Source organism: Homo sapiens, chromosome 8 (assembly GCF_000001405.40).
Source record: "Homo sapiens chromosome 8, GRCh38.p14 Primary Assembly".
NCBI classification, from domain to species: Eukaryota; Metazoa; Chordata; class Mammalia; order Primates; family Hominidae; genus Homo; species Homo sapiens.
Window position 1 is genome coordinate 39067335 of NC_000008.11, and position 24847 is coordinate 39092181.

The 24847-nt window shown below is 36.9% G+C and overlaps 1 protein-coding gene across 7 annotated transcripts in view; it reads left to right on the forward strand.

Moving 5' to 3' along the window:
* Positions 1-24847, forward strand: part of ADAM9 (ADAM metallopeptidase domain 9) — a 108289-nt gene that overhangs the window by 70362 nt on the left and 13080 nt on the right. For 2 of the 7 annotated variants that reach the window (NM_003816.3, XM_011544682.3), the window contains exons 15-20: positions 3964-4069; positions 9894-10077; positions 15307-15387; positions 15634-15739; positions 22713-22854; positions 23925-24012. In NM_003816.3, coding sequence (NP_003807.1) covers positions 3964-4069; positions 9894-10077; positions 15307-15387; positions 15634-15739; positions 22713-22854; positions 23925-24012 — 707 coding nt within the window. Of the gene's footprint in view, positions 1-3963; positions 4070-8812; positions 8942-9893; positions 10078-15306; positions 15388-15633; positions 15740-22712; positions 22855-23924; positions 24013-24847 lie in introns of those variants that run through there. The other 5 variants (NR_027638.2, NR_027878.2, NR_027639.2 and 2 more) reach the window with 5 other exon arrangements.

Sequence of the window (24847 nt, forward strand, 5' to 3'; positions counted from 1 at the left end):
CCTTGGGCAGTATGGCCATTTTCACGATATTGATTATTCCTATCCATGAGCATGGAATGTTCTTCCATTTGTTTGTGTCCTCTTTTATTTCATTGAGCAGTGGTTTGTAGTTCTCCTTGAAGAGGTCCTTCACATCCCTTGTAAGTTGGATTCCTAGGTATTTTATTCTCTTTTTAGCAATTGTGAATGGGAGTTCACTTATGATTTGGCTCTCTGTTATTGGTGTATAAGAATGCTTGTGATTTTTGCACATTGATTTTGTATCCTCAGACTTTGCTGAAGTTGCTTATCAGCTTAAGGAGATTTTGGGCTGAGACGGTGGGGTTTTCTAGATGTACAATCATGTCATCTGCAAACAGGGACAATTTGACTTCCTCTTTTCCTAATTGAATACCCTTTATTTCTTTCTCCTGCCTGATTGCCCTGGCCAGAACTTCCAACAGTATGTTGAATAGGAGTGGTGAGAGAGGGCATCCCTGTCTTGTGCCAGTTTTCAGAGGGGATGCTTCCAGTTTTTGCCCATTCAGTATGATATTGGCTGTGGGTTTGTCATAAATGGCTCTTATTATTTTGAGATATGTCCCATCAATACCTAATGTATTGAGAGTTTTTAGCATGAAGGGCTGTTGAATTTTGTCAAAGGCCTTTTCTGCATCTGTTGAGATAACCATGTGGTTTTTGTCTTTGGTTCCGTTTATATGCTGGATTATGTTTATTGATTTGCATATGTTGTTTAAAAAGTTTTCTTTCTTCTGCGTAACCTCTGTTTCATATTACCTTTTTTCTTTGTTTGAGTTTCCATCTTTCACATTAGCCATGTTCCTCAGCTCTCCCATAGTCCCTGGTCCAAAGGAGGGGAATAAGAAGCAGAGAGGTCACTCTAGGCTCATGGGGGAGGCTTGTTAACTGAAAGCTTTCCTATAGGATGATACAGCTGAACTTTTTAATTAGGGAAATGGAAAATCCACATCTTTAGGTTTTTTTCCTCTTGGGCTTGTTAAGATTCCCTTGTGAAGACCTTATCTATCTGCATCCTGGAGGGCCAAGTCCTAGCTGTCAGTCGGGCACGGTGGCTCACACCTCTAATCCTAGCACTTTGGGAGGCCGAGGCATGTGGATTGCCTGAGGTCAGGAGTTCGAGACCAGCCTGGCCAACATGGTGAAGCCCTGTCTCTACTAAAAATACAAAAATTAGCTTGGCATGATGGCGGGCACCTGTAATCCCAGCTACTCAGGAGGCTGAGGCAGGAGAATCGCTTGAACCAGGGAGGTGGAGGTTGCATTGAGCCGAGATCATGCCATTGCACTCCAGCCCGAGTGACAAGAGTGAAACTTCTCCTCAAAAAAAAAAAAAAAAAAAAAAAAAAAAAAAAAAAAAAAGACCTGACTGTCAGCATTCTGGGAGGGAAACAGGAGGTGAGGGAAAATAAGGCTGGGACCTCAGTATGAGGTAGGTAAATGCTCAGTTCATCCCCTTGTTTTTAGAAGAGTTTCTGTGCCTGTTACTGTGCCTGGTATCTCTTGAGTCCTGGAACCTTGTGTTCTACTCTCTCCAGAAAATAAACCTCCAGTGTTTTGCCAGGGTAGAGAAGAGACAGTCACTTGGCTTCACAAAGATGGTAGGTGACTTGTGGGCCAAACTGCTTCTTAAGCAGATTTAAAATTTTTCCTCTTTATTCCTGCCACCTGCCCCTCCTTATTCTCTATAGCCAGAGGTACCTATTACTACCAGTTTCTTATCTCCGAGGAATTCTACGGTGTAAAAAGGGTTGATCTCAGTTTTTTCTGTTGCCACTTTAAGATTCAGTTTTCTGAGATACATTGAGTCATTTATTACTTCACCAATTTCTTTTCGGCTTCTAAGTTTTGTGCAGTCTCCTTTCCCAGTTCCATTGTCTGTGGGTTTATGAATTAAAAAAAAAAAACTACTTTCTGTGGGATTTTAGGAGGGAGGGAAAATACGTGCATGTATTCAGACTTCTTACCTGAAGTTTGTTGATGGCTTCTGATTTTAAAGATAAGTCAATTCTGGTGTTATAGGTCTAGTTTTCATTCCTTTGAACATTTGAACATGTGGAGAATAAGGATTTAAAAGTCCTTCACTAGCTCATGCATTCTCAAATTCCTTATATTTTTAGTAAACACCAAATAAATATTTATCAAATAAGTGAAGAACTTGAGAGCTAACATAAGAGAAGGTATTGACGCTTACTATCAAATTTGGCCCTTAAAAAACCTTATGAGGAAGGCAGGGCTCAGAGAGCTAAATGGTTTGCCTGAGGTCACACAACAGAAAGCAGCAAAACCATGATCTCATCCACCGTGAGCATGGTGAGCTGATGAAGACTTACTGCTAGAATTTATCAAAGACATTGTTAAAGGAAAATAACTTACATTGGTTTACTTCTTAAATGGAAATAGGACATATTGAAATATTGAATATACAAATAAGCAAAAGGTAGAAAATAAATATTTCCTCTACTGTCAATATTCTGGATAAGTAACTGTTGAAAATTTCATGAATATCTTTCACTTATTTTTTGTGCATATGAGTGTATAATATACAAAAATGGTATCATATTGACATACTGCTTTAAAACCTGCTGCCTTTCAGCCTGGGCTGCATAGCAAGACCTTGTCTCACTAAAAAAAAAAAAAAAAAAAAAAAATTAGTCAAGTGTGGTGGTGCATGCCTGCATTTCCATCTACTTAGGAGGCTAAGGCAGGAGGATCACTTTAGCCTGTGAGGTAAAGGCTGCAGTGAGCTATGACCTTGCCACTGCATTCTAGCCTGGGCAACAGAATGAGACTCTGTCTCAAAAAAAAAAAAAAAAAAAAAGCTAAAATGTAACTGCCCGTTTTCAATACTAACAATAAATTGTGAATACTTTTCCATGTTAACCATTTTTCTACAACATTGTGTTAATGATATACTATAATTTATTTAAACAGTCAACAGTGTTAGCAGTAAACATCTGTATGGTTTAGTTGTGGCCTCCATTTATCCTTCTGGATAAATTTCCAGAAGCAGGATTCCTGTATTAAAGGCTTCTAAGACATTTCCACATAATCTCCAGAAATATATACCACTTTTTACCTTCATTTGCTATACGTGACTGTTCATTCCTTCATATGTTTCCAACATCAAGTATTTCCATTTTTAAAACTTTGCCAATTGAATAGCCACAAAACATATTTTTATTATTTAAAAATATGCATTTTGCAACATAGGCAACATAGCAAGACCCCATCTCTACAAAAATAAAAACAAAAATTAGCCAAGCATGGTGGCGTGTACCTGTAGTTCTAGCTGTTTGGGAGGCTGAGGTGGGAGGATTGCTTGAGACCAAGAGTTCAAGGTTACAGTAAGCTATGAACGTGCCACTGCACTCCAGCCTGGGTGACAGAGTGAGATCCTGTCTCTTAAAAAAAAAAAAAAAAGGGAAAGCAAGAATAGATTGTTACTTTGTCATCTGTCGTCAGTGTTTGTCAATGTATTTAATTAGTAGGGACATCTAAACCAAGCATCCATATATGATAAATGAAAAAAACAAAAGTATTAGCTGGCAGTGTTTTCTCCAACCCTTCCTAGCTGATCTAACCAGTGGTGCAGTTGGTTTATATGTGAGAGCAATGAGAATGAATATGCTGCAAATGGTACTATACTGTGCATGGTTTTTAATTTACTTATAATCTATTATTTAATAGTGTTTCTTTTAGGGCTTGAGTTTGAATTCAGGCTAACTTTTAAGTACAACTTAAGATTTATTTTTACATTTTGTCATTACATATGAAATGTGGAACAAAAATGTATCATGTGTGAGGCAGGAAAGGTTTTCCACGGTGTTGAGGGGTATTGAGGCTGTTCATCCAGGTGTTTAGACTGTTGTAGGGAATACTTTTATTTCAAAAGCTAAATTGCCATAACTTTTTTTTTCTTTTTTTAAATGTTTAATGTTACAGAAGCCAAGGCTGCCCCCAAAGATTGTTTCATTGAAGTGAATTCTAAAGGTGACAGATTTGGCAATTGTGGTTTCTCTGGCAATGAATACAAGAAGTGTGCCACTGGGTAAGTGGAGGTGCGGTCATAATGGAATATGAAAGATTATAAGATCCGTCATCTCTAGTATCTTTTTTTTTTTTTTTTTTTTGAGACGGAGTCTTGCTCTGTTGCCAGGCTGGAGTGCAGTGGCGCGATCTCGGCTCGCTGCACCCTCCGCCTCCCAGGTTCAAGTGATTCCCCTGCCTCAGCCTCCTGAGTAGCTGGGACTACAGGCATGTGCCACCACGCCCAGCTAATTTTTTGTATTTTAGTAGAGATGGGGTTTCACCATGTTGGCCAGGATGGTCTTGATCTCCTGACTTCGTGATCCGCTCGCCTCAGCCTCCCAAAGTGCTGGGATTAGAGGCGTGAGCCACTGTGCCCGGCCGTCTCTAGTATCTTTTACAACTGCTCTCTGTGACCGCTGATTTTCTCCCCCTTAAATACCTAACTTTTCAAACATTTTACAATGCAAAGCTTCAGAGAGACTCTGGTGTTAGGAAAAGAACTGGTAACATAATTTGTCCCTTTAGACATCAACTACAATCTAGTGGTTTTTAGACTCTTATTTTGTTTATCCTTGATTTATAATAAGAACCCCAACTAAACACCATTTTCATTTTCCTTTCCATAAAAGATTATGTTACTAAGTCCCTAGATAAAGGTACCTGCAGAAGAAACTCTGAACTTCATTATTTTCTTCTAGCTTTGTATAATTTCAAGATGATGAATTTAAAATATTTTATATTTCTACAATTAACATTTGCTTTTTGTAAAACATTAATAATGAAACATTACAAAGGAGGAAAAAGTCATGTATAATCTCAATCCATATATGTTCACTAATATCAGTGAAATTATTTTCTTCTTCACACTAACATTTTACATAGTTGGAATTATTCTGTAATATTATCATTGCTTCTACCCATTCTACCTCCTATGCTATCAGTTAAGCTAAGCAACTACAGTAAAACAGTGCTTGCTAAGAAGAAATAGCAACAAAGACCCCCATGTCACTCAATCTGACAGTCGTTTTTAGGTCTTCATACAATAGTACTTGACCTGTCAGTAGCATTCAATTATGCTGGCCATTTTCTCCTTCTTGAAGAAACCTCTTTTTTTTTGGTGATTGTGTAGGGTGTTCTTCTTCTCCCCTGACCCCATGTGATTTCGTTTACTTCCGTGGCTTCATTTGCCTCCTCTCTGAGAAGCTCCAGCCCTGCTGGCCTGCATGTGGCCTGCGGCCACAGGGCTCTGCACCTGCTGTTCCCTCTGTTCAGCATGCTGTCTTTCCCCCTCTCAGCCTGCTCAGTTCTTCGTCCTCCAGATCTCAGGTGAAGTGTGGTTTCCTTACAGAAGACTTCTTCCACTTCCTCAACAGGACCAGCTCTCCCTCTGACAGGTGTTCTTGATGCTGTTTGCTTCTTTTTCATAGAATTTGATATGTTTTCATTATTTTTTAGTTCATAGTATTTTCTAATTTACACTGATTTTTTTCCTTTGACTCGTGTTATTGAAAGCCTATTGCTTAATTCCCGAGTAGTTGGGAATATACTGGTTATCTGTTTGGTTTTGATGTCTAGTTCAATTCCATTGAGAACACATTCTATATGATTTCACTTTTTTGGAATTTGAGATGTGCATTATTCAGTTACACTTGGAACATTCATCCATACAGACTAATATGTGGGCCAGCCTCTTAATACCAGACCAATATATGGTCTGTATGGGTAAATGTTCCATGTATAATTGAAAGAAAAAGTATATTCTGCAGTTGTTAGAGATGTTATTCTATAAATGTCAAGTTAATAGTCTTATTCAAATATTTCATATCTATGGTGTACGTGTGTTATATCTGTTCCTTCAATTTCTGAGAGAGGTGTGTTGAAGTCTCCAGTTATGATTGTGGATTTGTCTATTTATCTTTTTAGGTATGTAAATTTTTGCTGTGTATGTTTTAAATTTGTTACTAGGTGCATACACAATTAGGATTGTTATGCCCTCCTGATGACTTGGAGGGCATTAGCAAATTTATCATTAGCAAATTCTTTTCATTTCTGGAATATTCTTTTGAAGTATTTGTCAGTTTCATTAATTATGTAGCTCTTTTGTTATCGCTGTTCCTCACTAAACTGTAAGGTTCAGTGACACATTTTATCTTGCATTTAGCATAATGCTTGGAGGAAACATAATAAATGACTATTAAACATTGAATGAATGAAGGTACAGATGATATGGATGAAGAATGAATGGGTGGAGAATTAATATAACCGATTGAATGAACTGATTTAAAATCTAGGGATAAGTGGATTAATGCAGACTTGGAAAGAATTTGCTGGACATATACCATATTCTTGTCTTTAGCCTTGTCTTGTTTCATATTTTTATGAATATCTTATTGAAAATAGCAACTATACTTATCAAACTTTAAAATTACTGAGTCATTTAGGAAGCATTTTATGTAATAGTAGTATACAAACAATATAGTCATTAAGAATATACATTTGAAGTTAGACTCTTTGGATTTGAATCCTTGTTCAATCACTTAACATCTCTGAGTCTTTGGACAAATTACTTCACATACATACCTCATTTTTCTGTTCTGTAAAATGGGGATAATAATGGCACCTGTTTCCAAGTGTTGTTTTGAACTGAATGAGTTAATGGGTGTTAGTACTAAGAGGAATATCTGGTTCATTGTCACATTCATCATCATCATCACTATTTTTGTTGTCATCCTCCTTGGAGAATGTGTAAAATCTGGAAAAGTCTTTTCTACCCATTGAAACTACCAAAAACATCTAGAAACATTTAAAGAAAGGATTCACATATGGTCCTACCATCCAGAGATATTTCCTTAAGTTTTTGTTGTATTTCTTTTTTATGTGTATATACATTTATAAACATAAGCCAAATGTTTCCTTTCACTAAAAGGGTTATCTTTTAGTACATAGACAATGTCATTTTTTCAAGCATTATAAAAAAGAAATTCCAAATATACAGAGGAGTAGAAAGAATAGTGTGATGAACACCAATATATCCCAGACCAAGACATTATTAATGCCTTATCATTATTTGCTTCATCAAGATTTTGCTGAACCATTTTAAGTAAATTATAGACATGATACTTTACTCCTAAATTCCTCAGCATCCGTCTTCAACAAATAAGGCCATTCACATGATCACATCACACCTAACAAAATGAATGATTTCCTAATATCATCTAGTATCTGATCAATATTAGTATTTCCATAAGTGTCCTCAAACTGTCTTTTATAGCCGGCATTTTCCAACATCCGGACTCAATCAAGGATCACACATTGCATTTAGTTGTTATGTCACTTAAGTCACTTTTAATCCAGAATACCTTTTAGACTGATTTTTTTTCTTTTCAGTGACATTGATTTATGGAAATGGCTGGGCCAGTGGGCTCATGTTCTGGATTTGTTTTAGTTTCCTTTTGGTGTTGCTTAACTTATGTCTCTATCATCCGAATTTTATTTAAATCAGAAGTTAAGCCCAAAATCTTTTTTTTTTTTTTTTTTTTTTGAGTAGAGCCTCACTCTCTCGCTCAGGCTGGAGTGCAGTGGCATGATCTCAGCTCACTGCAACCTCCACCTCCCAGATTCAAGTGATTCTTGTGCCTCAGCCTCTGGAGTAGCTAGGACTACAGGTGTGCACCATCATGCCTGGCTAAGTTTTGTATTTTTAGTAGAGATGGGGTTTCCCTATGTTGGCCAGGCTGGTCTCAAATTCCTGACCTCAAATGATCCGCTTACCTTAGCCTCCCAAAGTGCTGGGATTACAGGCGTGAGCCACCGCGCCTGGCCCTAAGCCCAAAATCTTAATTGAATTCAGGTTAAATATTTTTGGCGAGAATGTTCATAAGCAATGCATTATATCAAGGAGTCACTTAGTGCTGGGTAGTCTTATTAATATTAGTGATACTAAGTGGCAATGACCAGATCTTGCTATTGTGGAGTTATGCTTTTTAAAATTGCAGCTGTCAGGTAATATGTGGAGTGATGAGTTTGTGCCATATGAATATCCAGTTCCTGACCAGTGTTTCACTTTATGGATGATCCTTGCCTGAAGCAATTATTTTACTGAGGGTTGTAACTGAATTTTGTTTCTGTTAGTATTATTCAACAGTGAATGAGCATCTCAGTTTTGTTGGCTGTTTACATTTCTTATTTTATGAGCTGCCTGTTTACATCTTTGCTAATTTTTCTGTTGAAGTGATTTTCTTTGTCTTAATGATTTGTAACAGCTTTTTATATTCTAAGAGTATTTTCCTTTACTTTTTAATGTATCACCAAGCCTATGTATGAAATACTGAGTATATCATAGCAATGTGAATTTTGGTAGGCCCCAACAGATCTTAACTGAGGTCTACTTTATGCTACACTTTGTTTTTGAGGTTTTCATATCTAATTTCAGCTAATTATGTGAGATAGGCATCATTTATCTCATTTTTTTCAGCTGAAGAAACTGAAGCTCAGAAAATGTAAGCACTTCTCTCAGGTCAGCTAGCAAATAAATGGTGACATAAGAATAAATGTAAAGTTGGGACAAAATTATTAACTCTTAAATGCAGGATGAAGGGAAGATGAAGACTTAATAGCAGCACAACAAAAATTAGGAGTTTTAGTGATATATTCAAGGACATCAATAATATAATGTAGTTATAAAAGCTATTGTAATCTTGAACTTAATAGAAGTACAGTATCTAGAATAAACAAGAGCTCCATTTTTTTCTTTGCTCACCAGGCTGTCACTGAAATTTCATGCTCCATTCTGAGCACTATGCTTCAAGAGGCAGTGAGGCAAACTGGAACATATTTAGGAGGGAGCGTCCTTGTTGCATGAAAAGTGATTGTAGGATAGTGACCTGGTGAAGTAAGTATTTAGGAGCTGCATAATAATTGTCCTAAAATAGCTGCTGTGTGAAAGAAGGAAAAGATATCTGTGTAGTCTCATGGGGAAGATCTGGGACCAATGAGGATAAATGCTTTACAGATGTAGATTTTTACCTAATAAGCAGAAAGAAGAACGTGATGGGAGCTAGAATGGGCAGTTTCAGGAGGGTGTAAATTAGAGATATTGGGAAAATATATCCTATGATGACTGGGCAGTGATATCATAGAGAAGATTCAGATATAGAGTAGGTGCTTGGATCAGATGACAATCAGTTAAACAGGAAATCTCAGTACAGCATCATAAGAGTTATTGTTGGAAATACCTAGAGTGTTATGAAAGGATATAGGAAGGGCATTTAATTCACACAGCCTTGGCAATAAGAATTATGGTCAGGGAAGCCTTCATAGAGTTCTGATATTTAATTAATGAATTAACGAGTTAATGAATTGATTCTTTAAATAAGTAACCAAGAGTTAGCCAGGAAAAGAGGGGTGGAATCCTTTCTTAGTTATTTTGCATTATAGAATCTAATTTCTTCTTTATCATAACTCTGTAAGAAGACATAATTGAATTTTGATATTGCTATATTATTTTCTGTATAATAGAATTTATAAAATTATACTTAGAAACAACTTTATTAGTTAGGCTGTTGAGCTCTAGACAGACAGTGAAGAAGATTAAGTGTGGTAAAAGAAGAAGCATCAGCACCAGCTGGTGCCCTAATTTGCATCTTAGCATCCACTTAACTCTTTTTTCGCCTTTTCTGCCGTATTTAAAGAGAGCTACTTTGACCTCTCTTGCTCTCATACACTTTCTCTGTTGAGATTCCCTCCATAGCAGCAAACTCTGTCCATATGCAAATATATAAATTTTTTCTTTTGTTATGTATACTGGATGCATTTTATGTTGCATTATTTCTCTCTCTTTATAGGAATGCTTTGTGTGGAAAGCTTCAGTGTGAGAATGTACAAGAGATACCTGTATTTGGAATTGTGCCTGCTATTATTCAAACGCCTAGTCGAGGCACCAAATGTTGGGGTGTGGATTTCCAGCTAGGATCAGATGTTCCAGATCCTGGGATGGTTAACGAAGGCACAAAATGTGGTGCTGGAAAGGTAATCAAAATATTTTTTATTTACAAAGTAAAATGAAAAAAATTAAAAAAATTATTATACATAGTAAGTGGTTGCTCTTTTCTGATTGTAAAAGTAATCTAAATTCATTATAGAAATTTTAGAAAATACAAAGCCACCAAAAGAAAATTAAGAACTATAATTCTGTTATCCACATTTCCTTACTGGGGTCAGATAACCAGTGTTTTCCACTTTGCAATATACTGTGCATGGTTCCCTCCCCTACTGATATGCTACAATTTATTAGCCAGTTTGCTATTACTGGGACACTTTGGCGATGTCCTGAATTTCAGGGTGTGTGTCTGTGTACTAGAAATGTCATGGAGCTTGTCCTGCCCATGTTCCTGACCACCTGAGCTCTGCTGTTTGGATTAGATAGAAGGCCAGAGTCAGTCAGCCCATGACTTATTACTAGTGGTTTCATATGAGAAGATGCCCTGGGCCAAATTCCTTTTTTTGGAGAATATAAAATTAAGGAGGGTAATTAAGAGTGCGGGCAGAAACTGTAAGAATTCGTTGGGAGATGCTGTGAAGTAGGAGCTGGGGTAGAAGGGATGTGGCAGCCTTAAGCCATATACAAGAGATATGAGGGAGCAGGATTGTTGAGTAAGTTGAAGAAACCAACTCAGAGGAGAGAGAGAAGGAGAATATATGATTGACTGATTAGCCCATGAAAAAGACAGGTGGGTGGGCCTTCAAGTTACTTCACTTTCTCCCAAGTTTTCAGTTCCAATTCTGTTTCTCACTTCTCTTTACAAGAAGATCCATATATTTTTGGTCCTGTCCTTGCAACTAAATAAACTTGATCGTTGCAGCTGTTATAAACAATGATAAGAGATATATACATTTAAGTTTTTGATAGTGCAATTTCCCTTTCAATAAGGTGGTAACAATCTATATCCCAGCCTAGGCAGCAGAGGAAGACTCTGTCTCAAAAAAAAAAAAAAAAATTGTGCTGAAAGGCTCATGACAAAAACAACTCTCTGACATGCTCTTATCTAATCTGCCAGTCTAGACGCCTAGAAGCAACTGTGGTTACTTCTGTTAATTACCTCCCTATTTTAAATTAGGGCTGGGCACGGTGGCTCATGCCTGTAATCCCAGCACTTTGGGAGGCTGAGGTGGGCGGATCACTTGAAGTCAGGAGTTCGAGACTAGCCTGACCAACATGGTGAAACCTCGTCTCTACAGAAAATACAAAAACTAGCCAGTGTGGTGGTGCATGCCTGTAGTCCTAACTACTCAGGAGGCTGAGACAGGAGAATCGCTTGAACCTGGGAGGCACAGGTTGCAGTGAGCCGAGATTATGCCACTGTACTCCAGCCTGGGCAACAAAGTGAGACTCCCATCTAAAAATAAAGTAAAATAAAATAAAATAAAATAGTATGCTATTTCTAGATTTATCTATTTTAGACATTATCCACTAGTTTTATTTTTGATAGATAAGAATTCAATTTTCTTATGCAAATCCCAGTTTCCCTGCTGTACCTTTTCAAAATAAGTGCTTAATATTTACATAATTAATATTGGGGTGTTATTGAATGAGTCCACAACATCTCACTGTTCACTGGGCATATTCCAGACGAGGTGAGAGAAAACAGGGGAGGCTAAACAATTGGAGATCAAAGGATCATTTTTATTAGGAAGAAAGCATGTAACATGACTTAAGTAGATAGCAAAAATGGGCTTCCTAATGCTGCCCTACACAGTTAAACTTACCTGTCCAGCCTTACCTGCGAAGTTTAACTGCATGGTTGAAAGGGCAGACCAGAATGCACCCTTTCTGCCACCTCAGCTTACTACTAGCTGGCACCACAGGTGTAACCAGCATGCCTGGCTAATTTTTTTTAATTTTTCTGTAGAGACAGGATCTTGCTATGTTGCCTAGGCTGGTCTTCAGCTCCTGGGCTCAAGCGATTCTCCCTCCTCAGCCTCCCAAAGTGCTGGGATTACAGGTGTGAGCCACTGCACCTAGCTGGGCATCTTTCCATGTCTTTATTAGATCCATGTATTTTTTTCTGAGAAGTTCATATTGATATCTCTTTTTCTATTAGCTTGCCATTTTTTGAGGCTTCTCATATGAGAAGAATATTAACTGTCAGTCAGTTATATCTATGTAAATATGATCAACAATTTGACATAAGCCTATTTTAAAATATCATGAATTTTTTTTTTTTTTTTTTGGAGCCTCACTCTGTCACCCAGGCTGGAGTGCAGTGGTGCAATCTCAGTGCAACCTCCGCCTCCCAGGCTCAAGTGATTCTTGTGCCTCAGCCTCCCCAGTAGCTGGGATTACAGGCATCTGCCACCATGTCTGGCTAATTTGTGTGTTTTTAGTAGAGACGGGGTTTCGCCATATTGGCCAGACTGGTCTCGAATTCCTAACCTCAAGTGATCTGCCTGCCTTGGCCTCCAAAAGTGTTGGGATTACAGGCGTGAGCCATGGCATCCGGCCTTAAAATATCATGAAATTATATCAGTCTTATCTGTTTTGTCTTGGTTTCATGTCATGTTTAGAAAAGCTTTTTGTATCTCAGTATAATATGAATATCTGGCTTTTATTGGCACAATTTATTAACATTTCATCCTATTTCTCTGATCTTATTGCTGCTGTTAAATATTTTCTTGATATTTTCTACTTTATCTTCCTCTTGCAGTATTACACAAATTATTTATTTGTGTGTGGGGTGTGTGTGTGTGTGCACATACACTTTGGTAGTTGTATGTCTTTCTATTCTGCTTGTTTACTTAATAACAAAAAAATGAATATATTTTTCTCAAAGTTGTCGTGATTAAAAATAGTATCTACTGATTGTTGCAGTGTAAGCTATACCACTATTACTTCCAAACCCCCATGTCCCAGTTTTTACTTGGTAGGAAAAATATTGGCTTTAGATTCCAGGTTGTTATTAACATATATCAATGTATTTTTAAGACCTTTTGTCTTTCTGGATTTTATTGCTAACTGCATAGTTTTCTAGCTATGACAATAATATTTATGTACAAGAAAGGATAGCAAGTGGTTGGTGTGTGTACCTGGACTGATACACCTTGACCCAAACTGACATGCCGTTGAGACCATATACCACACGTTCTGTACAGCTGTAACTTTGTAACTGTTGGTTTAATCTATGAGTCTAACACCCAAGTTTTCACACGGCAGATAGGATCCTGTCCCTTCTGGTATGTACCAAAGCCTAGACTGGACAGTTTGAGCAGACTGACAACTTGGTACTTCTTCAGATCTGTATTCTTTATATATTTATTCAACATTTATTTCCAGGACAAGCTAAACGTGGGGTAGGGGGAAAAGTGGAAAATAAGAACTCCTCACCTTCATTTTTATTGTCCCAGGTAGTTCAATTTTGCTCCCCACTTGCATCCTGAAATCAGTAAACCAGAAGTCCTATAGTCAAGTTTGCTCTACTTGCTGCGTGGTGGTTGTTGGTGGTGGCCATGGGTGGTAGGGGGAGTGGTAGTAGTATGTGAGAGGATGGTCTTACCTTCCCACTGTGAGAGTTTTTTTTTTTTTTTTTTTTGAGGCAGGGTCTCGCTCTTTGACCCAGGCTGGAGTGCAGTAGAGTGCAGATCTTGGCTCACTGCAGCCTCTGCCTCCTGGGTTCAAACGATTCTGCTGCCTCCCAGGTAGCTGGAATTACAGGCTTGCACCACCATGCCCGGCTAATTTTTGTGATTTTAGTGGAGATGGGGGTTTCACCATGTTGGCCAGGCTGGTCTTGAACTCCTGGCCTCAAGTGATTCACCCACCTCGGCCTCCCAAAGTGCTGGGATTACAGGCGTGAGCCACTGCACCCGGTCCCCACTGTGAGAGTTTTTGGGTGTATTCCTTTCAGTTTGATTTTTCCCATTCCACAAGGTAAACACTGCCAATCAGAACACCCTTTCTCTGGAGGACTTGGAATTTTCCTGCCCCTTAAAGTAAATCTGCCAGTTATTAACACATTTCATCTTATTTAACACTTCAGGTGTCCGCTATGAATCAATTATTGACAGGAAAATCTTCTTTTAACTGGTAGGGAAACTCTTGGTAAATATCTCCTCTAAAGACTTGCGGATGTAAGAAAAAAGTATTTTGAAATCTTTATTCAGGAGTAGTGCATGGCTAGAGGACACATGAGGAGTGACTTACTGTAGAATCTTCTGTAATTTTGGAATTTTAAATCATATATGTCCTATTTAAAAATTAATGGAAAATTGGAGGAAACAGTGTTTGGAGATCTTTTGACTTTAAAAGTACAATTCTGTTTAAACCTGTGTATTTTTTAGAGTGGTAAGGCTATCGATATTTCGTTGTAGGTTTGTTCTCTAATTGTTCTTTATTTCATTTGAGCATTTAAATATTCTGATCTTGTACACAAGATCAGTTGGTTAGTTACCTAATAAAATTTTAAAATAGCACTCAACAGTCTTTTAAAACGTTAGTCTTCTTTTTTTCCTCTAACATCACAACAGAGCAGTTTTCACAAAGATGTCAACTAAAAAATTTCTAAAATGTGTTGAGCTGATTTCTTTAGATCTTAGGTTTAATATTTTTTTCTGAGGTAATGGTTTTTATCTCTCAGTAGCTAGGATTCATTTCTGTTTCATATCTCATCATATGAACTAGAATTTCTTGAACCATGTAAGATTATAACTTATTTTCAACAGTGCTTTTAATAGAAATATCTAATCATGGTACTAGAAAACAGATTTTATCTTGTCAACAAAGTACCCTTTTATTTTTGAAAGAATTTTAAAAATTAAAATGAGTTTTAAATATTATCCTTTTGATATCTGTCATAGTAACAACACTTTATGAGAGGTGTAATAGAAATAGACCTTCTATCCTTGAAACTTTCTTGTAGTCCTGGGGTTAACTCTATCTAGTTACTTTTGATTTGAAAAAGTCTATTTGTGAATATTTTATTTAGGATCTTCACATCAATATTCACATGGAAGGATAGATAATAGTTTTATCTTTGTTTTTGGTCTTTATGTCATCTTTGTGTTTTTTGATAATTAATTTTGTATCAATTAATTAATGCCACTTATTTTTCTGCATTTTTAAAAATATAATATGGGAATTAATGGTTCCTTGAAAGTTTGAAAGAATTCTGCAATGAAATAATCTGTACCCAGGTCTTTTTTCTGGGTACTTTTTAATGACTGTGCTCAATCTTTCTTTACTTAGTTCATTTTTTTTTTTTTCAGATCTGTAGAAACTTCCAGTGTGTAGATGCTTCTGTTCTGAATTATGACTGTGATGTTCAGAAAAAGTGTCATGGACATGGGGTAGGTAATGTTTTCTTTTGGCTTGTTCCTGAAAGTAGTGCTAAATAATGAGAAATCTCAGGACTAGATGAGAGTTCCCAGGATTTTCAGATGTTGGGGAATTTAGATTCCTGATAAAATTTTCATTCTTAAACAGTGTCAGTAAGCTTGTATGAATTTAGTCCTTTCTCTTGGTTTCCATTCTTGAGTTGATGATATAGAGCAACATTCACAATTAACAAAAGTGGTATTTTGATTGTTTTGAAGGTATGTAATAGCAATAAGAATTGTCACTGTGAAAATGGCTGGGCTCCCCCAAATTGTGAGACTAAAGGATACGGAGGAAGTGTGGACAGTGGACCTACATACAATGGCAAGTAATATAGAAGAAAATTAGTGTGATCTCCCAGTGGCCCAAGGCATAAATTGGGCATCCTCGTACCTCTCCCTCACTTCCCACATCAGTTATACATTTAATTATGTTGATTCAGCCTCCTAAATTCCTTGTGACTGTTTCCATTTTTCTCATCCCCATTTATTACTTTCAATTTCTTGCCTGGACATACATCATAGCCTCTTATGTAGGCTCCCTATTTTTCATCTTGCTTCCTATAATCCATGTTTCACTCTACATTACAGTTTCAGTGTTTTCCTACAAGAATTCAGTTTTGATTTTGTCAGCGTCTTGCTTTAATTCAGTGCGTCTGCATTGCTATTAGAATGAAGTCCACAACTCCTTAACATGGGTTAAATGCCCTGCATGACTTGCCCCTAGCTTGCCTTTCAAGCCTCATTTCACTATGTTGAAGACATATTGTAACTTCTTTGATTTCCTGTACTAGGCTACTATCTTTTACCTGTGGGCTTTCATACCGTATTATTTTCACATTGTTGGCCCTTGGCTAATTGCTATTTAGGTTTCAGATTATACCTCATTTTCTAAAGAAAGTTTCCCCTGGCTGCTTAAATCTAAATTATCATTTCCTTCTATTGCTTTTCTAGTACTGTTAGCACTATCTGTTAGCACTAATTGCTATACTAATTACTGATTTGCTTTTTAAAATTCCCTGATAGACCATGAGCTCCCAGTTTATCGGTATCTTTCTAGTGACATCATATGCTTTTTTTCTCTTGGGTAACTACCAGCTAGAATGACTAGTCATATAGTAGGTGTATGTTAAGCTTTTAAAGAAACTGCCAAACTGTTTCCCAACGTGGCTATACCAGTTTACATCCTTACTAGCTGTATATGAGAGAATTCCCCCAATTTCCCCACATCCTCTCTAACAGTTGCTATTGTCAGTCTTTTTAATTTTTAGCCATTCCAGTAGGTATGTAGTGGTATTTCAGTGTGGTTTTAATTTGCATTTCTCTAATTACTAATGATGTTGAGCATCTTTTCTTGTACTTATTTGCCATCTACATATCTTCTTTGGTTATGTGTCTGTTTAAATCTTTTTTCCAGTTTTTAATGGATTGTCTTAATGAGTTTTGAAAGTTCTTTGCATGTCACTGATTCAAGTATTCAAGTTCTTTATGAAATATGTGCCTTGTATATATTTTCTCTTAGTCTGCTTACTTTGGGTTTCATTTGTTCTTTTTCTAGTTTCTTAAGGTGGAGGATGAGGTCATCTTTTTTTTTTTTTCTGATACAGACATTTTATTGCTATCAGTTTTCCTTTAATTCAGAAATTTTGACATGTTATACCTCCATGTTCATTCAGTTCTGAATACCTTCTAATATGCTTTTTTTTTCTTTGACTTACAGGTTATTTAGATATGTGCTATTTCTTTTGAAATACCTGTGGATTTTTTAGTTATCTTAATGTTACTAATTTAAATTTTACTGTAGCAAGAGAACATATTGTGTATGACTTGAATCCTTTTTTTTTTTTAAACTTGTCTTGTAGCCCAGAATGTGGTTTATCTTAGTAAAAGTTCTGTGTACACTTGAAAAGAATGCGTATTCTACTATTCTTAGGTGGAATATTCTGTAAGTTATTAGTTCATGTCAGTTAATAGGTAGTCGGATCTTTCATATCCTTACTGATTTTCTGGTCTACTTACTCTGTCAGTTATTGAGAGGAATATTGAGTTCTTTGGCTATAACTGCCAATTTGCCTATTTCTCTTAATAGTTCTATCAATTTTTGCTTTATTTATTATGATGTTCTGTTATTAGGTACATAAACACTTAGAATTATTCTATCCTCTTTGTAAATTGACTCTTTATCCTTATGAAATAGCCTTCTTTTTCCCTAGTAATATTCTCTGCCCTGCAATGAGATATTGTTAATATAGCTACTCCAGATTCCTATTAATTAGTCAGCATGGAAAATCTTTTCCCATCCTTTTACTTTTAATTTCTTTATATCATGCTATAGTAATTAGTACATATAGTTGGATCTTGCTTTTTATCTAATCTGCCATTCTCTGTCTTTCAATTAAGTTGTTTCGATAATTTATATTTAACTTGACTATTGATGTGTTTATGTTTAAATTTACTGTCTTGATATTTTCCATCAGTCTCCTTGTAGTGATATTGTAACACTTCAGTATATTTCCATTTCTCTCATTTTGTGCCATTGTTGTCACATGTTTTACTTCTACTAATGTTATAAATCCCACAATTCATTGTTACTCATTTTGCTTTGAACAGTTGATTATCTTTCAGAGACTTAATGGTAGAAAAAGTCTTTATATTTACCCATATAATTACCATTTCTGGTGTTTTTCATTTATGTAAATTTGCATTTCAATCTGATTTAATTTCTGCTTGAAGGATTTCCTTTTACATTTCTTATAATACCAGTGTGCTAGTGACAAATATTTTTAGCTTTTGTATGTCTGAAAAAGTCTTTAATTTGCCTTGCTGCTTGAATAATAATTTAACTGGGCAAGGATTTTGGGTGATAGTTTTCCTCCCGTTTTACTTCTAAGGATATTCCTTGTCTTCTGACTTGCATTGTTTTTCCTGAAAAATCTGCTATCATCCTTTTCTTTGTATATAATGTCTTCCGTATATGTCTTTTTCTAATCTCTGGTCACTTGTAATGTTTTGCTCTTTATCTCTGGTTTTTATATTGTGCCTTGGTGTAGTTGGGATTTTTTGAGCTTTTTGGATCTGTGCTTTTATAGTTTTCTTCAAATTTGGAAAATTTTTGGCCATCGTTTCTTCGAATATTTTTTTCTGTCTTCCTCTTTCTCCTCATCCAGGTCCTCCAATTTTATGTATATTTGGCTGCTTGGTGTTATTTCACATGTCACTGATTGGCTGTTGATTTTTTATTTTTGTTTTTTTTTCTTAAATTTTAATTTAACTTTACTTTTTTTGAGACAGAGTCTTGCTCTATCACCCAGGCTGGAGTGCAGTGGTATGATCTTGGCTCATGGCAATCTCTGCCTCCGGGGTTCAAGCAATTCTTATGCCTCAGCCTCCTGAGTAGCTGGGACTACAGGCGTGTGCCACCACGCCTGGCTAACTTTTGTATTTTTAGTAGAGACAGGGTTTTACGCTGTTGGCCAGGCTGGTCTCAAAGTCCTGGCCTCAAATGATTCACCCACCTCAGCCTCCCAAAGTTCTGGGATTATAAGTGTGAGCCAGCATGCCTGGCTGGCTGTTGATTTTTAAAAATTATTCCTTATTCTCCATGTTTAATTTTGAGTAACTTCTGTTACTCTTCAAGTTTACATTTCTTGTGTGAAGTCTAATTTGCCATTAACTTGATCTAGTGTGTTTTTCATTTTAGACATTGTAGTTTTTATTTCTGGAAGTTCCATTTGTTTCTTTTATATATCTTTCATGACTCTACATAAGATGCTCAATCTTTACTTTTTTGAACAAATAGAATACAGTTGTAATAACTGCTAATGTCCTTGTCTACTAATTCTGTCATATGGGTAATTTCTCAGTTTTGATATTTTTCCCTCTTTTATTTTCTGTATTTTTGTAGGCCTTATACATTTTTATTAGATGCCAGAAGTTTTAAATCCTACTTTGTGGGTTATTGGATATTTTTGGATTTCTATTGATGAGGTTTGTACTAGTATGTTTGAGTTACGTCGACATAGTTTGATCCTTCTGGGTCTTGCTTTTAAGCTTTTAAGGCAGGACCTGAATAGCATTTAGTCTAGGGCTGATTCTGCTTCATTACTGAGGCAAAACCACTTCTGTTTATCCTGCTTAGTACCACGTTAATTATGAGATTTCCCACTGAATTATAGGAGCAAGTGCTCTTCCTAGTCCTGTGTGAGCTGTGGGGCTTATTTCCACCAATCTTTTCACATGGTTCTTTCTCCAGCTTCATGTGGTCTCCTTACATGCATATATCCATCAGCACCGATGCAGATCTTTCAGCTTTTTCTCTGTAGCTCTCTTCCCTTTGGTACTTTGCCTAGGAACTGTAGCTGCCTTGCCCTCTTCAGAATACCAGCTCCATCTCTTTAACTGAGGGAGACCACTGGGTTTTGCTTTGGTGCCCACACCCGAGTGTCTGTTAACTTTCTTTAGGCACTAACCTTGGACAATTCTAAGGCTCACATTTTTTTTTTCTGCCTCTCAGGGATCATTGCTCTTTGTTGCCTGATGTCCAGTGTCTTGAAAACTGTTGTTTCATATATTATGTCTGGTTTTCTGGTTATTTTAGCTGGCAGAGTAAATCTGGTCCCTGTTATTCCACCTTGGCTATAACTGGAAGTCAGAACTATGGATTTTAATGGCTGTGTATCATTTCATCCAGTGGATGTGCTATAACTTCACTTAGCTGTTTTCTAATTATTTGACATTTAGATTGTTTCTAAGGTTTTGATAACTCACTGTTAACATTGTAGTGTACATGTTAATGTGTATGCATTTTTCCAATTGAAGAATCAATTGCCAGTAATGAGATTAGTTTGAAGAGAATAATCCTTTTTATGGTTCTTTTAGGAGTAAAAATTCCTAATAAATGATACATTTGTGTAATGCCACTAACAGTGCGAAGGTATCAGTTTCAAAATAATCTTGCCAGTGTTGAATGCTTTAATTTAAATTTTGTGTACTCATTAGTAAGTATAAAATGATATATGAAGCTTGCTTTAATTTTTTATACAGTTGACCGTTGAACAATGCAAAGGTTAGGGGCTCCAACTCCCTGCATAGTTGAAAACCCATGTGTAACTTTTGGCTTCCCCAAAACTTAACTACGAATAGTCTGCTGTTGACTGGAAGACTTACCAATAACATAAACAGTTGATTACCATAGATTTTGTCTGTTATATGTATTATATACTGTATTATTATAATAAAGCAAGCTAGAGAAAAGCAAATTTATTAAGAAAATCATAAGAGAAAATATATATACTATTCATTAAGTGGAAGTAGATTATCATAAAGACCTTCATCCTCATCATCTTCCTGTAGAGTAGGCTGAGGAGGAGGAGGAAGAGGAGAGGTTGGTCTCAGGGGTGGCAGAAACACAAGATAGCCTGCATATAAGTGGACCTGCACAGTTCAAACCCACATTGTTCCAGGGCCAACTGTATTTTGATTTTCAGTTGGGATAAATATTGTTTCATATAGTTTTATACAACTTTTTTTTTTTTTGAGATGGAGTCTCGCTCTGTTGCCCACGCTGGAGTGCAGTGGTGCAATCTCGGCTCCGCCTCCCGGGTTCATGCCATTCTCCTGCCTCAGCCTCCCGAGTGGCTGGGACTACAGGCGCCTGCCACCACGCCCAGCTAATTTTTTTTTGTATTTTTAGTAGAGACGGGGCTTCACCATGTTAGCCAGGATGGTCTCGATCTCCTGACCTTGTGATCCGCCTGCCTCGGCCTCCCAAAGCGCTGGGATTACAGGTGTGAGCCACTGCGCCCGGCCAGTTTTATACAACTTTTTACAGAAATTTCTGGTTCTTTTACAAACTTAAAATTATGAATCAGTTTACCACTCCCGTTTATATCTACTATATTGTTTCTCAAAAGAACACAGAACAGATAAAATACTTAAAGAATTTGTAAAAGTTCTAATGAAACTTAAAATCTAGAAGGCGTAAAAATAAGATTGATAAATTCAACTATACAAAAATAATAAACTTTTCCGTGGAGAAAAGCATAGTGCCATAGGTTAAAATGGGGAAAATATTTCCAACTTGTATCATGGACAAAGCTAATCTCTCTAATATATAAAGAACTTTTAGAAATTAAGAAGAAAAAAGCAAGAGTCCAGTAGAAAAACAGTCAAAGGACTGAGCAGAAAAAAATAAATAATGTTTCCTTAAGAAAAAAGTGAGGCCAGGCACGGTGGCTCACGCCTGTAATCCCAGCACTTAGGGAGGCCGAGGCGGGCAGATCATGAGGTCAGGAGTTGGAGACCATCCTGGCCAACATGGTGAAACCTGTCTCTACTAATAATACAAAAAAATTAGCTGGGCGTGGTGGCGCATACCTGTAATCCCAGCTACTCGGGAGGTGGAGGCAGCAGAATCGCTTGAACCCAGGAGGCAGAGGTTGCAGTGAGTGGAGATCGTGCCATTGCACTAGCCTGGGCAACAGGGTGAGACTCCATCTCGGGAAAAGAAAAGAAAAAAAAATTATCAACTCATAGTATAAAAAAATGTAAATTAAAATTCTATAAGAGAAAATTTTTCACCTGCCTGGTTGGCAAAAATCCGGAAATTTGGCTCTGTGGGTGAGGCTATGGGGAATTCTTATATATTGCTTGTAATATTCTTATAAATTGTAACCATTACTATTGAAAGACAATTTGACAATACCTAAAAGAAATGATGAATGCACTTATTTATTGATACAGCATTTCTGCTTTAGGGAAATTATTCTGTAGTTATTATACCTGCACTAATATGATACAACATATGTGCAAGGTTATTCATTATAGCAGTTTTTTTGGTAGTAGCAAAAGATTGGAAAAATATAAGTGTTTATCAGTAGGGTACAAGTTAAATAAACTCTAGAACATCTTCACAATGGAGTTTCATATAGCTGTATGGAAAACGAGGAGGTCCACTATGTACAGATAAGTGGAAAAAAACTGATGCACCAAATGGTATATAAATAGTATGCTACCTTTTGTGTAAGAAAGTGTTGACAGTAGAAACGTATTTTGTTCTTGATTGTTTGCTCGAAGAAATACTGTAAGGTTACAGAAGAAACTAATAAAAGTGGTTATTTTTGTGAAGGCAGAAGTAAAGCGGACAGGAATGAACTTTGTGGAAGACTTCTCAATATATTCAATTAATATCAGTTTGATTTTTGAGTAATGTGAAAATTAATGTAAAGTGTTTATAATCATCTAGTATTTTCTGCCTAGTATGAGTTTGGTGACTGTTGATGTAAAATTCTTCTCTCTAGAAATGAATACTGCATTGAGGGACGGACTTCTGGTCTTCTTCTTCCTAATTGTTCCCCTTATTGTCTGTGCTATTTTTATCTTCATCAAGAGGGATCAACTGTGGAGAAGCTACTTCAGAAAGAAGAGATCACAAACATATGAGTACTTAGATTTTTTTCTTTTAATTCCTATATTAAATATATACATACATTTTCTGAGACAGAATCTCGACTTCCCTGGGCTCAGGTGATTCCCCCTGCCTCAGCCTTCCAAGTAGTTGGGATTACAGGCACACCACCACACCCAGTTAATTTTTATATTTTTTTGTAGAGATGGGGTTTCGCCATGTTGCCCGGGCTGGTCTTGAACTTTTTGAAGCCATCCATCTGCCTCAGCCTGCCAAAGTGCAGGGATTACTGGAGTGAGCCTCCACGCTCAGCCTATATTAAATAATTTATAAAGTATTAATGCTGATAGTCATATCACCAGAGATTGGTAATCCTCTAAAATAGGGTTCTAAGTTATTTCTCTGACCTTTTGACATGATTAGCATGGGTTGAAAGGTGGTGGTGACCAAGCCACCTCTTTTAATGGGGAGGAGAAAGGCTTATGTTGGTCAGCCTTTAGGCTGCTGAAAGTGACCCTCAGGGTTCATTTTGCTTAACACCAATTTCTGATAGAGGACTAAGTAGATACTTCGTATCATACTTCCAACTGACCAGTCTATGCAAATAACTCCCCCATCTGCATTTTTGAAGTTTGAGTTCCATAACTACAGCTATCTTTCATACATCTCCACTGCACTGATTTGCTGTCACTTCAGCATGTCTAAAACTTACCTATTACCTTTCCAGCCAATCCATTCACTACCCTTGGATTTCCTAATTTTTAAAATGACTACTTGGCAACCTGAGAATATGCTTTTACTCTTCTCTGATTTTAGGAAGACTTGAGAAAAGTTAGGGAACATTGGCCTAATTGACCAAATTTCACAATTTCTTAAAATTTCAGTTTAATTATAAAATGTGGTTAGTAATGCTTTCTAATACCATAAGGATTAAAAATACGTGAAAGCTGTTAAAATGCCCTAAAAATTTAAACCGTATCATGATTATCATCCCCACCACTACCAACATCATTATTCTGTATTTGGGAAAATGCAAAATGTGTGTAATATTTCATGTAGAAATGTTTTTATCTTAATTTAGATCAAAAGTAATTGTATCTTTCAGGTCAGATGGCAAAAATCAAGCAAACCCTTCTAGACAGCCGGGGAGTGTTCCTCGACATGTTTCTCCAGTGACACCTCCCAGAGAAGTTGTAAGTATAAAATGAAAAATTATTTTTCTTTACTGTATTAAAGGATCAAATGCTTAAGGATTAAAAACACAGTTATATAGCTATAGCTAGAAACATAGATACCTTCTTAAGAATTCAAGAGTATTGTAGGTGGTCCCTGAGTTTTTTGTTTTTGTTTTCGAGACAGAGCCTTGCTCTGTTGCCCGGGGTGGAGTACTGTGGCACAATTGCGTCTCATTGCAACCTCTGCCTCCCAGTTTCAAATGATTTCGTGCCTCAGCCTCCCGAGTAGCTGGGATTACAGGTGTGTACCACCACGCCTGGCTAATTTTTGTATTTTTCATAGAGACGGGGTCTCACCGCATTGGCCAGGCTGGTCTTGAACTCCTGACCTCAAGTGATCCACCCGCCTTGGCCTCCCAAAGTGCTGGGATTACAGGTATGAGCCACTGTGCCCTGCCCCCTGAGTTCTTTAAAGGAAAACCAGCGGAGTCCTTGGCTCAGAGGACACAGAAAAAGACAGCTGGACATTAGGAATGCCTTGCCTAGCAACCAGGATTGGGAAATGACATGGGACGTATGCTATCACTGCTTTTTTCTGTGTCTGCTCTTTTCCTATTTTCAATACCTGTCTCCATCTCCCTATGGGATGTTACCAAAGACCTGGTGCTGAGCTCTTGGATCGGCCTAATTGTCTAAGCTGTAGGACTGATAGTCACTGTTCTGCAAGTGTATTAGGGAGTGTTTAGATCATGATATACTTTTATTGAGTGTTTAGATCATGATATACTTTTATTGATCTGCATGTATCCCTAAGCAATATGTAATTTTTTAATGTTTTAAAACTTTTAAGAAC